The sequence below is a fragment of the Homo sapiens genome, chromosome 3, assembly GCF_000001405.40.
Source record: "Homo sapiens chromosome 3, GRCh38.p14 Primary Assembly".
Classification (NCBI taxonomy): Eukaryota; Metazoa; Chordata; class Mammalia; order Primates; family Hominidae; genus Homo; species Homo sapiens.
The window spans coordinates 126,696,315-126,712,677 of record NC_000003.12 but is presented as its reverse complement, the minus strand read 5'-3'; the positions used below and the strand labels follow the sequence as shown (position 1 = coordinate 126,712,677).

The following is a 16,363-nucleotide window of genomic DNA, read 5'->3' as shown; positions in this document are numbered from 1 at the left end:
CAGACACAGGAAGGGCAGAGACGGTGGTTGATGCTGGACACTAGTGCCACTGCGGAGAGCAGGAGCGACCCCTTCCAATAGAGGGAAAAGGCAGCACTTGAAGCCTGGGAGGATCAAGGCTGCCTTCCAGTGCAGCACGTTTACTTTCCAAATGTGGGAACTGGCCCGAGATGAGCCTAGTAAGGGTTACAATTAACAACCTTACATTTATATTATTTTATAGATTTATCTTTTACATACAGAGACCTTCAACATTGTACTGTGATACAAGAAAGGAGGAATGTAATGGAATTTCATCATATATGAGGATCATATGCTGAAGTCAGAAGGTGGAAATAACTTTTAACTCTTGTACTACTTAGATTGTATTACTGGTTACGCTGTACTATATTATGATAAAATTTAAAGGATATTCAACTAAACCCTTGAGAGTGATTCCTTCTGCACCTAAAGTACAGTGTGGTTGTGTAGACAGTCCCCTGCTGTCATTCTCACACACAGTGAGTTTCAGAACCACCAAGGCAGAAAAATGGAACGCACCAGCGGGAAATCTACATGCAGGTGTCTGGGCCTTCAACCATCCTGTCTTTAAGATGAGCCTCCACTCCTCAGCAGCTGAGGTGGAAAAGGTAGAGAGACCTAAAGTACTGTGCTTCCCTGCAGAATTTGCTTTACCTTGTTTTCTAATGCCTCAGCACTTGTCAGAACATGTGATGGATTCAGGAGCATCAAACAGAATAACACATGTGAAAGCAGCTAGCCCAGAAACCGGCACACAGTGTGTACTCAAGAACCATTTGTTGGACTTGAAATCAGAAGCAGATACTGTTCATTGAAAAGCAGCAGAGAAGTTGGCTGCCTGTTTTCTGGCTTTCCAAGCTGGCAATTCCTGATGCGGGCTCCATCAAACTGCACTCATCCAAACAGCCAGGTGAGCTTTACAGCTGTGGAAGACCAGAGACGATCTATAACGCAACCCCTTCGTGGTGTCTATGCTAAATGGGCGCATGGAGATGCTACATCATATCTCTATCTTGCACATAAGGAGAAAGACACATCCTTCTGAAGTGTCAGGGCATAAGTCCAGGTCTGGGATCTTCTGTTTCCCACACTGCCTTTAAGTGAGTCAACTAAGATGAATGCTGCAACCAAAAAGCAGACATTCTAGAGTGAACAGGATCCCAAGCACAGAGTTTAACATCCAGCAAGAACAAAAGAAAGAACAGGAAAAGTAATCATATAAAACATATCATAAGGAACTTCCATGTTCAAACTGAAACAGTCAAGGAGGCAAGCTCAGAAGCATTTCACTAGGCAACCACATGGCGGAAAACAAAGTCTGCCGCACACATCCCGAACAGGTCTGTGTTAAAGCCTGGAAGAATAAGATTCTCATGCACAGCTGCCACAAGATCGCCAGCTTGGCTAGAGAAGGACTGCCAATTCATTAATCCAAGCATGTAACCCAACATGTATATATTAATGAGCAGACACTATCATGAAAATCCAGGATTTGCCCTCTTAGAGCTTATAAAGGGAAAAAAGGACATAAGGACAGAGAGAAAGGAGTGGCTGTAACTATTAAAAGATAAAGTTACCAATCTGATAAGGGGCATCTACGAAAACCCTACACCTAACACACTTAATGATGGAAGACTGAATGCTTTCACCCTAAGTTCAGGAACAAGACAAGGACGTTCACATTCACAGCTTCTATTTAGCATTGTACTGGAGATCCTAGCCAAAGCAAGAGGGAAAGAAGAAGGGCATCCAGACTGGAAAAGAAGTCAGTCTTTATTTGTAAACAACATGATCCTACTTGTAAAAAGGCCTAAGAAATCCACCCCAAGAAAAACCCTACTTGAACTAATAAATGAGCCTAACGAGGTTGCAAGATACAAAGTCAATATACAGAAACCAACTATATTTCTATACATTAGCAACAACGAGCCCAAAAATAAAAGTAAGAAAACAACTCCATTCACAATAGCATCAAAAATAATAAAATGCTTGGGAATACATTTAAGAAGTACAAGACTTGTACACTGAAAGTAAAAAACACTCCTCAGAAAACTTAAGAAAGATCTAATGAATGAAGAGATATTTCGTGTATACTAATTGGCAGACTCCATGTTGCTAAAATAGCAATTCTCCCTAAAGTAATCTATAGAGTCAACAGAAATCCTATCAAAATCCCTGTCAGCTTCTTTGCAGAAGTTGACAAACTTATCCTAAAACGTATTCAGAAATGCAAAGGACCCAGAACAGATAAAACAATCTTGAAAAATAACAAAGTTAGAGGCCTTACACGTCCCAATTTTGAAAGAAAGCCACAATAATCAGCATGACAGCATGGTACTGGCATAAGGACAGACATAAAGATCAATGGAATAGAACTGAGAGTCCAGAAATAAACCCTAAATTTATGTGCAATGGATTTTCACAAAGGTTCCAAGATAATTCAATGGGGAAAGAATAATCTTTTCAACAGAGCCTGGAGAAATAAGATCTCATGAAGCAAACATCGATTTAGATCAGGGTTCAGCAAACTCTGGTGCTTGAGCCAAATCTAACCCACCAATTGATTTTGTAAATAAAGTTTTACTGGAACACAGTCAAAACCACTCACTTAAGCATATTGTCTATGGCTGCTTTCCCCTACAATGGCAGAATTGAGGACAGTCATCCTTTGGTATCCATGTAGGATTGGTGTCAGGACCTCTGTGGACACCAATATCTGAGGATGCTCAAGTCCCTTTTATAAAATGGCATAGTATTTGCATATAACCTACACACACCTACTATGCACAAAGATATCTTATAGCTTAACAATAAAAAGACAAATAATCCAATTAAAAATTGGCAAAAGATCTGAATACACATTTCACCAAAGAAAATATAAGGATAGGCACATGAAGAGACGCTCAACATCATTAGTTATTAGGGAAATGCAAATTCAAACCACGATGAGATACAATTTCACAGCCACTAGAATTGCTAGAATCGAAGATAATAACAAGTGTTGGTGAAGATATGAAGAAATTGGAATCCCATGTATTGCTGGTGGAAATATCAAATGGTACAGCTTCTTCAGCAAACAGTTCAGCAGTTTCTTTAAAAATTAAACCTGACAATTCACAAAATTCATAAACTGAATGACCCAACAAATCCACTCTCAGGTATCTATCCATGAGAACTAAAAACATTTGCCTGCAAAAAAACAACTTGTAAATACATAAATGTTCATAGCAGCGTTACTCACAATAACCAAGAAGTAGAAAAAATTCAAATGCCCTCAACTGGTGACTGAATAAGCCAAATGCAGTATATACATACAACAGGATACCATTCAGCAATAAAAAGGATGGACTACTGATATATACTACGACATCAATGAACCAACATCAAAAACACTTGCTCAGTGAAAGAAGCCAGAAATAAAAGATGCATTAATCATTTACGTTTACAGTCAGTCCTCCGTATCCATGGGTCCAAAGGAAAACATTTGAGAAAAAGAAACAATAAAAGATAATATACCAAAAAAATTATACAAATCTTTAAAAATACAGTATAACAACTATTTACACAAAATTTACAGTGTTTGGGTATTATAAGTAATCTGGAGATAATTTAAAGTATACAGGAGAATATGTGTAGTATATATGCAAATACACCATTTTCCATTAGGGACTTGAGCATCCAAGGATTTTGGTATCCATGGGGGTCCTGGAACCAACGACCCATGGATAGGTCATTGAAAGACCAAGAGGGGACTATCTACGAAATGTCCAGAGAAGGTAAATTTATAGAGAAACAGGATTAATGGTTACCTGGGACTGGGAGTGGGAATGGGGAGTGACTGCAAACAGGTCAAGGCATCTTTTTAGGTCTTGTAAATGTTCTATAATTGGATTGTGGTGACAGTTGTCCAATTCTGTCACCACAGTTTACTAAAAAGCATTGAAATGGGTGAATTTTATAATATGTAAAATGATGCATCCCAATAAAGCTTTTTTTTTTTTTTTTTCAAGAGATGGGGTCTTGCTACACTGGACTCGAACCACTGGGCTCAGGTGATCCTCCTGCCTCAGCCTCCCATGTAGCTGGGACTACAGGTACATACCACTGCACCTGGCTTACAACTGTTGGTTTTTGTTTTTAAAGAAAAATCAGTGTCACCAGACAGAACCTTTCCAAAGCTCTGCTCCTGACCAGAGAACTGCAGCGTGGCCTCCAGAATAACATGTTCACAGCCCTGCCTGGCATTTGGGCCCTGAGTCTGGCCTCACCACCTGCCACATCCTCAAGCATCCTACCCTCCTTGTGGCTGCCAAGCACATGGGCTATGGAGTCAGAGACCCTGAGGTTCCAGCACTGTGACCTTGGGTTACTTCACCTCACTGAACCTGTTTCCTCACTTCTGAGATGGGGATAATGACCCCTCACAAGGTAAGCATGTGGAATTTCTGGGGTGATGCTCTGAATACACTTGGCAGAGTGCTTAGCACAGAGTGAATATGCACTCTTCATAGGGCTGGCTCAGGCCACAGTCAACATCTCCTCCTGAGAGGCACTGCCTGACCATCCCACCTCAAGCAGGCAGCCCCAGTAGCTTTTGCACCCTTTTTGTTTCCTCCTTAGCTCTGGCAGCTCTTTGAGTCTTTTGCCTGTGTCTCTTCCTTTCTGGTCCATTCTCCCTACTGGGCTGAGGTCTCTATGATGACAGGGTCCTCGGCTTTGTCCCTCATTGTCTCAGCAAGGCCAGGCCCAGTGCTGGGCAAGTAACATGAAGGCAGTGGACATTCACTGAGGTGAGGAATAACTGGCAGTTGCAGGTGCAGCGCTCTGGCACACGGCCTCTCTGGCACTGGCACAATGGGGGACTCTCTTGTGTGTCTGACCACATTCTTCTTGATCTTCCCCTCCACCGTGGTCCAGAATCAGCCTCATGGGAGCAATGCATGACGGTAAAGTTGATCAAGCCTGGAGGGGATAATGACTCTGGGAACATGCAAGTGACTGGAACAGGGGTGGGCTCAGTGGTGGGAAAGGGGGAAAGGCTGGTGAACAGTGAGCAGTCTGGATGCTCACAAGCAACCAACATCAGCTGAATCACCAAAAAGGGCGGCTCATGTGGAGAGGAGGAGAGGGAAGGCAGACACATATGCGCCATGACTGCCATGTGTGCCTTCTCTTACTGAAGGATGAGGTTAAATGTACTGGTTAAAACAAAATCTTTACGTATTTCACACATTTGCTCTGAAAACTGGAGTTGAATATAACTGCAGCATTTTGCATTCATTAAATTTCTTTTACCTTCCATGGAATTACGGTTTGAACACACTTTGTGAATTTATGCAAACTAAGTATGTAAACTAGCAAGGCCTAGCACTTAATCTTTTTTTTTTTTTTTTTTAAGACGGAGTCTCTGTCACCCAGGCTGGAGGACACTGGCATAATCTCGGCTCACTGCAACCTCCCCCTCCTGGGTTCAAGGATTCTCCTACCTCAGCCTCCCAAGTAGCTGGGTGTACAGGTGTGTGCCACCATGCCCAGCTAACTTTTGTATTTTTGGTAGAGGCAGGGTTTCACCATGTTGGCCAGACTGGTCTTTAACTCCTGACCTCAGGTGATCTGCCCACTTCGGCCTCCCAAAGTGCTGAAATTACAGGCATGAGCCACCACTACCAGCCACTAACACTTAATCTTACAGGGACGAGAACACTTTCTAAGACCAGGCCTCAGGAATTAAATACAAATGGTCATTAAGAATATTCAACTTGCTCTAAAGAAGCTGGGGCAGATCTTCTTTGGCATCTGCTTCTCATTAAATGAACTGATTTGTTCCCTTTGGCAACTGTTTTGTTGATCTGGCAATCTTTTTCACTCACTTGCCTAAAGACAAGGTGAATTCCTCAACCCTCAAGTAACTCTGCTAACAGAAAAAGCCTCTACACCAAAACATCCTTTCTTCATACCATCACCTCCTTTCTTCAGTTTTCCTCTTTCAAACACAAGCAGAAGGAAGGACGTGGCTCTCATAACGTGGGGCTGTGCACCTTACTGTGCACCTCTGGACAAGTCATTTATCCTCTCTGATTAGTTTGCCCAGCTGGAAAAGAAAGCAGTCAGTCACCAAAGTTCCTTCCAGTTTTAAAACTAAGTGGGGCACTATCATCCCTGTCAGGACAGGTATGGGTATTGTCACAAAATTTTCAGGCTGCCTTGCATACATCATGGGGGGGAATTGCAGAAGTGAGAAAAAGTTGCTTTTTGCACCGAAAAGATCTTAATTAAAGTCCCAGAAGTTACTCAGGTTAACACCTTGGGCAAATTCCTTAACTCCTTTAAGCTCAATTCTCCATCTTTAAATACAGAGAATTTATATGTTGCAGAAGTATTTAAGAGAACTAGAAATGAAATGTACCTGTCTTATATAATACTCAAAAAACATGAGGTTTCCAATCAACTTGAAAGAAGGCACCCCCAAAGGCACTCCCCTGAACCTCTGAGGACTCCAACTTAACTTTCCAACATTCCCCAAAACAGGAGACCAAATCACAAGGGTGAGAGCACCCAAACAGAGCCAAGCTTATCTTTCTAAATTCCAATTCAGGTTCCTCCCTCTCGGCCTTCCAACACAAGCCATCTCCTCCCCCATTTAATCCTTGCCACGAGTGAGGTCCACAAAACTATACAACGCCTAGCAAGCACCAAATGTGCCAAGTACTCTGCTAGGCTAAGAAGAGAGGCCTCCACAAAGCACTCTCTCTGTGCGTTTCCTTAACACTTTCACAGACATCATCTTATCCTAGGCAGTACCTAGGATACATACACACCCAATTTTTTTTTTAATGTGGCCATTGAGGCTCAAAAGAGTTTTTTACCCAAGGTCACACAGCTAATGAGCACCTGCCAGAACTCCTGAAGTCTGTCTTTCTAAGCCACCTCCCTAATTCCTCCTTAATTAACTAATTCATCTACACCCAGCTCTGTGCGTTTCATTTAATCCTAGTCCCTTTTACTGGGTTCATTCATCTCTCCACAGTTACTTACAAAGCACCTGCAGGTGTAGACACAGGTGGAGGAAGAGGCCGAGCACAGCAACATGCCCTGGAATTGGCTTGTTTCAATCCCAGCTCTCCCACTTACTATTTACATGATCTTGGATCAGTTCGTTCACCTCTCAGTGCCTCACTTCTCCTTAATCTACAATAATGGGCTAAATAGGGCTGTTGAAAATTAAATCAGTTAACTTATAAAGGGTTTAGTCCAACGCATGGCCCCTACACTGCAATAAGAGCTGCTTTTATTCTTCTGGGTTCTGGGGACAGTCTTCAATCAGACAGGAACCTTAGCCTCAAAAAGCTTACACTCTAGCAGTAAACGCAATAAACAAGTAAACAATTATCAACAGAAGCGATCACTGTGATGAGTGCTATGAAAATAATAAATGTTGGACGCGGGGTGGGAGGTTACTTCAGATTGGGTGGTCAGGGAAGGATTCTCTGGTGATATCTGAATTACAACAAGAATTACAAGAAACAGCGGGATTTAAGGAGAGCTGAAGGAGAGAGAACAGCCGGCGCACAGACCCTGAGCTGAGCCAGCGGCACCCTCCAGGAAAACACGGCGGTCCTGAGGCTGGGGACGAGGTGCGGGTGCCACGCGAGGGAAATGGCACGAGATGCAGTCCCAGAGGGATGCAGTCCCCAGAGGTCGACGGGCAGCGGCCAGCTTTGGAACCAGGGAAGGCATCATCCAAGCGCGCTAGGAACCCACTGGAGGGTTTCAGGCAAGGAAGGGGATCAGATCTGAGCTATGGTTCTTCCTGCGCCCCGCAGATGTGCTGTGGAGAACAGGCCGGCGGGGAAGAGCTGAGTCCCCAGGCAAAGCCCAGGTGGGAGACACCGCGTACCCAGAACGAGATGCGCGCACCTGAGGGGCCACGGGCTGGGAGGCCGGGCGCAAATTCAAGAAACGTAAAAACTAAGCCGACCGGAGCCAGGACGTGGCCAGGGCGTCCCTCGTGTCCCAGGGGCCTCGCACCTGTACAGTTCTTCACTCCTCCTTCCCTGAAGCCCATGTCGCGAAGCTCCAAGGCTGCCAGCCTCGGGCTCGCGTCTCGGCTCAGCCTCTTCCTGGCCTGAGCCCCCGGAGTCTCCCAAGCCCCACGCCCCTCACGCGTGGAAAGAGCCCCGGCCCTGCGCTCCGCCCCGCACCTCCCCCCCGCGCCCGCGGCCTCCACGCCCGCCCCGGCCCAGGCGGCGCCGCTCACCCGGACACCCTGCAGCACCCGGACCCGCTCCTCCTCGTCCACTCCGAAGGACACCCTGCGGCCCTCGCTGCTCTCCGTGCTCCCCATGGCGAGATGCCGCAGGGCCGGCAGCCACCAGACCCGAGACCCGGCTCCAGAGCAACCGGGCCAACAACGCTTTCCAGGACTCGCGCGGCCGCGGCACACGCCAACAAAGCCACGTCCTATTGGCCGACGCCAGAGGCTTCACCAATCGGGTGGCGCTGAGTCGCGGTGCCTTGTGGGGATTGCAGTCCTTCCGTCTGGAGGGGTGGGGGCGTGGCGGTCTGTGCCTGCTAGAGTGCGTTAGGCTGAGGCCGAAGATGTGTACCGGCGGAGGCCCTGGAGTGGAGGGCTGGGTGCAGGACAGGGTCACGTTCTCGCTTTGGGAGCTCCCCCTTGAGGGAGAGCCAAGGGTGATGTTCTGAGGCCAGGAGACGCCGAGACGGCCAAGGCGCTCATCTGGAGGCGAATTTCTGAGGGTTCACTGCTCCATTCATTCAGCAAACACGTGTAGAGCAGCACGGGCTGAGCGCCAGACGAGCAGGGACCTGGCCCTGGCATTACAGCGCCCCTCAAGACAGCGAGTGTCCTGCCCTTGAGAGGTTTACAGTGCAAGGGGAAAACAAGTGAAAAGCCAAACACGCACGCAAGGAAACTGACTGTAATACACGGAAAACTGCATGGCGATGCCACTAGTAAAATGAACAGAAGGAGGCCTCTTTTAATTTCAGTGGCCAGAGCAACCTCTGAGGAAGAAGCTTTGAACTGAGCCGGCGGGAGAGTAGGATTTATGTAGAAAAAGGTAGGGGAAGAGGTTTCCTGGGAGTCTCAGGCAGGAAAAGAGAAAGAGGGGTCATCCCATGGCTGGAAAGTGAGAAGAGGGCAGAGGAGTGGTGAGGACCCAAATCATGTCGGGTCTTGTGAGGCAGGGTCTGAGTGTGGGTTTTATTCTAAACGCCCCGGGAGGACAGGGAATGGTCCTAAGCCGTTAGGAGGCATTGCCCAAGGAGTGTACATACCATGTGTGGAGTGCAGTGTGCCAGGCATTGTGTGTAGGCTTCTTACACAGGACCCTATGTGTAAGGGAGCACACAGACGGTTGCCAGTCATAGACACTGCTACCTTCAAATAAGCCCCTTTTTGTTCCTCTGAGTTGCTGAATGGCTTTGATTTGCAAAAGTGCGCCTGAAGCCGAGCTGAGGAAAACTAGATGGCTACATGAAATAGCCAGAAAATATTTGGAGCTCCTATTGGCAACCTGGAAAGAAAGGGGTGAGGAGGAGAGAATGATTGAGAGAGAGCAGTAAGGCTCTGAGATTGAGAATAGCTCAGGGTGAAGAAGCTAGTAAACATCCCAGAGCTGGTGTGACGATGGAATCTTTAGGAACAAAGGTGTCTGCTAGTTTCATTCAAAATACTTCATTGGCGCACCCCACTCCATCACCTCTGTCGTCCATTTCTTCCCTATAAGCAGAGCCTGCGTAGGGGATTCTGGTGCAAGGAGTTTCCTGGGGGAGCACCTCAGGAGAAAGGAAGTTAGGGAGACAGGCTAAGAGGGGTGGGGACCGGGGGCCGCGGGGAAAACTGAGTAAAGATGTGGTCAGACCTGGTCCTGGGCTTTCCTTTGTCTCTTTTCCTTGGAGGTTTATGATTACTAATTCAATCTCCTTACTCGTTATTGGTCTGTTCAGATTTTCTGTTTCTTCAAGACTCAGTTTGGATAGATGGTATGTTTCTGGGAATTCGTCCATTTCTCCTAAATTATCCAGTTTCTTGGTGTATAATTGTTCATAGTAGTTGATTATGATCTTTTGTATTTCTGTGATATCAGTTGTAATGTCTCCTCTTTCATTTATACTTTTGTTTATGTGAATTACCTTTTTTCTTGGTTAGTCTAGCTAAGGTTTGTTAATTTTGTTGATCTTTACTGTTGATCTTTTCTGTTGTTTTTCTAGTTTCTATTTCTGCTCTCATCTTTTTTATTTCCTTCAGTCTGCTGACTTTGGGGCTTAGTTTGTTCCTCTTCTAGTTCCTTGAGATATAAAATTAGGTTGTTTGATGTCTTTCTTTTTTCTTAATGTAGGTATTTTTCGCTATAAACTTCCCTCTTAAAAATGTTTCTATTGCATCCTATAAGTTGTGGTACCTTGTGTTTCCATTTTCATTTGTCTCAAGATACTTGTTTATTCCCCTTTTGATTTATTCTTTGGCTCATTGGCTGTTCAGGAATGTGTTGTTTAATTTCCGCACATGTGTGAATTTTCCAAAGTTCTTCCTATTACTGATTTCTGACAACAAACTATTCAAAAAGAAATTAAGAAAATGATCCCACTTACAATAACACCAAAAAGAATAAAATATGAATAAATTTAACCAAGGAGGTGAAAGAAAGATGCACACAAAAAATTGCACACTAAAAATTATAAGACACTGTTGAAAGATACTATAGGAGACATAAATAAGTAGAAAGATAGCCTGTGTTTATAGATCAGAAGAATTAATATTGTTAAAATGGCTTTACTACCCAAAGTAATCTACACATTCAATGTCATCATTATCAAAATTCTAATGACATTTTTCACATAAATAGAAAAAACAATTCTAACATTTCATATGGAACCACAAAAGACCCCAAATCATCAAAGCAATCTTGAGAAAGAAGCAGAAAGCTGAAGGCATCATACTCCCTGATTTCAAACTATATTACAAAGCTGTAGTAATCAAAAGAGTATGGTACTGGCATAAAAATAGATACATAGATCAATGCAGAAAAATAGAGAGCCCATGCATATATGGTCTACTAATGTTTGATAATGGTGCCGAGAATATACACACTATGGAGAAAGGAAAGTCTCTTCAATAATTGGAGCTGGAAATACGGGATATCCACATTCAAAAGAAGGAAATTGGACCCTTGTATTACACCACATAAAAAATCCATTCAAAATGAATTGAAGACTTAAATGTGAGATCTGAAACCCCAAAACTCCTAGAAGAAAACATAGGTGGAAAGCTTCTTATCATTGGTCTTGATGATAATTTTTTTGGCTATAACACCAAAAGCACAAACAACAAAAGTAAAAATAAACGAATGGTATGACATCAAACTAAAAAAGCTTCTCCACATAAGAGGAAACAAGCAGCAAACTGAAAAGGCAACCTACAGACTGGGAGAAAATATTTGGGCACCATATATCTGATAAGTGCTTAATATCCAAATATACTCTATAAGGAACTCACACAACTCAATAGCAAAAATAAATACCCAATTTAAAAATGGGCAAAGGACTTGAATAGACATTTTTCTGAAGAAGACATGTGAATAGCTAACAGGCATATGAAGAGCGCTCAACACCACTAATCATCAGAGAAATGCAAATTAAAACCATGGTGAGATATCACCTTACACCTGTGAGAATCAGTATTGTAATAAAGACAAGAGAAGTGTTGGTGAGGATGTAGAGAAAAGAGAACCCTGCACACTGCTGGTGGGAATATAAATTTGTAGAGCCATTATGGGAGAGAGTATGGCAACTCCCCCAAAAGTCAATACAATCTAATAATCCTATTTCTGTATAGTTAACTTTAGCCTAAAGCTGCTTCCTTGTAAGTTCAGCCTAAAGGTTGATCCATACATAGTGAACTGTAATCTAACTGGATGTGTAAACAGACTGTAACCTACTCTTATAACAAGTAGCCAAGTCTCAGCCAATCAGAAGACATACTACTCACAGGTGGCCAACTGTTCGGTGTTCAAATAAGTCTGTAACCCAGCTGTAACCAATCTGGCTATTTCTGTATTTCACTTCCATTTTATTTATGTCATTTTCCTTTTCCTGTCCCTAAATCCTCTCCAACCCCACTGGCAGCACTGAAGTCTCTTTGAAGCTATTCTGATTTGGGGGGCTCCCTGATTTGTAACTTGTCCTTTTCTCAAACTCTTTAATCAGTCTCAAGTTTTTCCTTTAACAGTATATATCTAAAGGAAATGAAATCTTGAAAATATATCTGCTCCCCCATGTCCATTGTAGTATTATTCAAAATACCCAAAATATGGAAACAACCTGTGTCCATCAACAGATGAGCAGATAAAATGTTTTACACACACATATATATACATACACACACACACACACACGCGTGTTTTATCCAGCCATAAAAAAGGAAATCCTGCCATTTGTGACAACATGGACGAACCTGGAGGACATTTTGCTAAGTGAAATAAGCCAGGCACAGAAAGACAAATACTGTATGATCTCACTTATATGTGGAATCTAAAAAAGTTGAACTCATAGAAGCAGAATAGAACATTGGTTACCAGGGATTAGGAAGTGGGGGCATGGGGAAATGGTCAAAGGGTACAAACTTTAGTTATAAGATGAACAAGTTCTGGCCAGGCACAGTGGCTCACGCCTGTAATCCCAGCACTTTGAGAGACTGAGGCAGGCAGATCATTTGAGGTCAGGGGTTTGAGATCAGCCTGACCAACATGGTGAAACCCCATCTCTACTAAAAATACAAAAAATAATTAGCCGGGCATGGTGGCACATGCCTGTAATCCCAATTACTTGGAAGGCTGAGCAGAAGAATCGCTTGAACTTGGGAGGTGGAGGTTCCAGTGAGCAGGACCTCACCACTGCACTCCAGCCCTGGTGACTGAGCGAGACTCCAAATCAAAAAAAAAAAAAAAAAAAGATGAACAAGTTCTGAGGATCGAATGCACAGCATGGATGGTGAATGATGTGTTAATTTCATTGTGATAAGCATTACACAATGTATATGTATATCAAACCATCACATTTTATACTTTAAATATATATAATCTTTGTCAATTAAAAAAAATTTTTTTGAGACATGGGCTCACTCTGTTGCCCAGGCTGGAGTGCAGTGGCATGAAAAGAGCTCACAGCAGCTTTGACCTCCTGGGTTCAAGGAATCCTCCTGCCTCTCAAGACTATAGGTGCATGCCACCACACCTGGCATATATATATATAAAATAGAGACTGGATCTCGCTATGTTGCCCAGCCCAGGCTGGTGTTGAACTCCTGGGCTCAAGCAACCCTCCCACCTTGGCGTCCCAAAGTGCTGGGATTACAGGGGTGAGTCACCGCATCTGGCCATGGGGCCGGACAGCCACCGAGTATTCAGAGGGCCACCAAGACATCTGTGCTGAGCTAATTTAGCAAAACGAGTGAGAGCCAAGGGTGACCATGAGACTCTGTGTGGCCTCACTCCCACTGTGAAGAATCCTTGGGGAGTCTTGAAATTCCACAGACTTACAGCAGCATAGGTAAGCCTCATGACAACCCAGTATATTCTTTATCTCCACTTCACAGATGAGAAAACCGAGGAGCAAGCAGGTGAAGATAATGCAACATTATTGATCCAAAGTAGGAGGAGGATAAAGGCAGTGGCAAGGGACGTGAAGGAAAGGAGGGGGAGGGAAGCAGAGCTTTTTGAGTAAGTTCCTTGTGCCAGGAGTTTTATTACCCTGTTCTAAGGCCCAAAAAACTGAGGCTCTGGGGAGGGAAGGTGTTGTGACGGGTCTGCTCATGGCTACCTGGCACCCAGTTTCCCCTTCCCTACAACAGAACCCCAATTTCCTGAGGTGCAGGCATGTGCCCAATTAGAAAAAATTGCCTCCTAGGCTCCCAGTGGCCAAATGCAGGACAATTTGAACATCAAGAAGAATAGAAAGAGTAATGGCTTATAGCACATTTAATTGATTTAAATCCATTAGCCTATTCTAGTGAGAGGGAGGAAGAGAGGGAGACAGCAACAGAGAGAATAGGAAAGAGGGTAAGGAAATTCTTCTTTACACAAAAATGCCAGCTAACCAGTACAGCGGGCATTTGAGATTTTTTTAAATTGCCACTTTGCCACCTTCAGAGGATTAACTGAGGCAAAAATCATCAAAGGATACTAAAGCCATTGAGTGGAAAAATTGTTGGGGGACAGGCTATTCACCCAATGTGCTGGGACTACCTTGGCCTCCCAAAGTGTTGGGATCACAGGCATGAGCCATCATGCCTGGCCACAGGGCCTGACAGCCACTGAGTATTCAGAGGGCCACCAAGACATCTGTGCTGAATTTTTTCTGCCCCAAAGGAAATTGGGGTTCTGTTGCAGGGAAGGGGGGACCGGGTGCTAGGCAGCCATGAGTGGACCTGTCACAACACCTTCCCTTCCACCCAACGACAGATTTATTCATTACAAAGGGAAAACCATATTACAATGATGACATCTGGCAGTCACTACCTTAACCAAATGACCAAATTTAGCATCTCAAATAGTGGGACCATCTGGCACAATGTCCCTCCCCAAGTGATACAATGAGGAACACAAAACATCTCCAGTGCAGTATTCTTGTCAAAAGTGTAACCTGAATCTAATGGTGAGGACACAGTCAGACAAATCCAGGAACATCCTAGGAAACAACTGGCCTGGACTCTTCCAAAAGGTCAATGTCATAGGAAATAAAACAAAAAAAAAAAGGTAGCTTAAAAAAGACGAAGGAGGCCAGGTGAAGTGGCTCACACCTGTAATCCCAAAACTTCTGGAGGCCGAGGTGGCAGGATCACTTGAGGCCAGGAGTTCGAGACTAGCCTGGGCAACATAGCAAGATCTCATCTCTAAAAAAAAAAAAATTTTTTTTTTAATTAGCCGGGTGTGGTGGTGTGTACCTGTAGTCCCAGCTACTCAGAAGGCTGAGGTGGGAGGAGTGCTTTAGCCCGGGAAGTCAAGGCTGCAGTGAGCCGTGATTAGACCACTGCACTCCAGGCTGGGTGACAGAGTGAGACCCTGTCTCTAAAAAATAAAATAAAATAACAAAATAATAAAAATTTTAAAAAGAGATGAAGGAAGCATAGCACTGAAATGCAGCAGTGAATCCTAATTGGATCCTGAACTAACACAACAACAGCAAAGCTATCAAAAGATACTCAGGCTTTTTGGGAATGCTTTATACATGGGATAGTGTCTTAGATGATACCGTGGAATTAATGTTCATCTTGTTCTTGGGATATGCATGTTGAAATATTTAGGAGTGGAGTACCATAATGTTTACAACTTACACTCAAATGGTGTGAAAGAGAAATGTTAACATTAGGTGACTGTAGGTGACATATATCTTAGAGTTCACTATATTATTCTTTCACTGTTTCTATGCATTTGAAAATTTTCAGAACAAAAAAGAGGAGGAAAAAAAAGCTTTCCTCAAAGCAGGAAGTGACCATGTGACCCAGCTCTTGAGCAGAACAGCACAGTACTTATGTGGGATGGGGCACAAGGCTGAGCTCTGCCTTTTTCTAGACTGGCCCCTCAAGCAATTCGTGGAATATCTCTGCGCCTCTGTTTTCTGAAGGATGTGAGAATGCTGCCAACATTACCTGGAGTATTTGTCCAGAGAGCTTGGTACTAAGGGATCTCATTCAGCAACAGCTGTTGTTATTCAAAGACTTTGTTTTTGGAACAAATACTTTGGCAACCAATACGGAGGGTGTACTGGAGCGGGGAGTTCTGTGAGGTGCCTTGTCTTAAAGTGGGTTCTTCAGAAGCAAACAAGAAGAGAAGGGCTGGTGGAGTAGAAAAGTAATTTGCTTTGTCCATGTTAAAAGCCAAAAGGGAGCCAGGTGTGGTGGCTCATGCCTGAAATCTCAGCACTTTGGGAGGCCGAGGTGGGCGAATCACTTGAGGTCAGGAGTTCGAGACTAGCCTGGCCAACATGGCAAAACTCCATCTCTACTAAAAATACAAAAATTAGCCGGGCATGGCGGTGCATGCCTGTAGTCCCAGGAGGCTGAGACAGGAGAATTTCTTTAACCCGGGAGGCAGAGGTTGCAATGAGCCAAGATCACACTACTGCACTCCAGCCTGGGTGACAGAGCGAGACTCTGTCTCAAAAAAAGAAAAAGCCAATAAGGAGCTTTCCTCGCAACATCAGAAACAGGAGTGTCTGCCTTCTCCACTTCTATTCAATATTGTACTGGAGGTTCTAGCCAGAGCAGTTAGACAAGAAAATGAAATAAAAGTCTTCCAGATTGAAATGGAAGAGGTAAAACTAT

The 16,363-nt window shown here is 44.0% G+C and overlaps 1 protein-coding gene across 2 annotated transcripts in view, besides 3 other annotated features; it reads right to left on the bottom strand.

Annotated features, from left to right (window-relative positions):
- The window catches only part of CHCHD6 (coiled-coil-helix-coiled-coil-helix domain containing 6), a 256,181-nt gene extending 247,743 nt beyond the window's left edge, over positions 1 to 8,438 (bottom strand). For both annotated transcript variants that reach the window (NM_001320610.2, NM_032343.3), the window contains exon 1: positions 8,279 to 8,438. In NM_001320610.2, the coding sequence (NP_001307539.1) occupies positions 8,279 to 8,365 (87 nt within the window). In that variant the 5' untranslated portion in view covers positions 8,366 to 8,438. The remainder of the gene's footprint in view (positions 1 to 8,278) is intronic.
- Positions 7,187 to 7,738: an enhancer, noted in NCBI's record as "H3K4me1 hESC enhancer chr3:126423783-126424334 (GRCh37/hg19 assembly coordinates)". NCBI's record gives its function as "activates a minimal SCP1, AML or CMV promoter by ChIP-STARR-seq in primed H9 embryonic stem cells {active_cell/tissue: H9 hESC(primed)}" and the evidence as "EXISTENCE:reporter gene assay evidence [ECO:0000049][PMID:30033119]".
- Positions 8,049 to 8,248: a silencer, noted in NCBI's record as "silent region_14680". NCBI's record gives its function as "represses an Ori minimal core promoter by ATAC-STARR-seq in GM12878 lymphoblastoid cells {active_cell/tissue: GM12878}" and the evidence as "EXISTENCE:reporter gene assay evidence [ECO:0000049][PMID:35858748]".
- Positions 8,799 to 8,858: an enhancer, noted in NCBI's record as "active region_20441". NCBI's record gives its function as "activates an Ori minimal core promoter by ATAC-STARR-seq in GM12878 lymphoblastoid cells {active_cell/tissue: GM12878}" and the evidence as "EXISTENCE:reporter gene assay evidence [ECO:0000049][PMID:35858748]".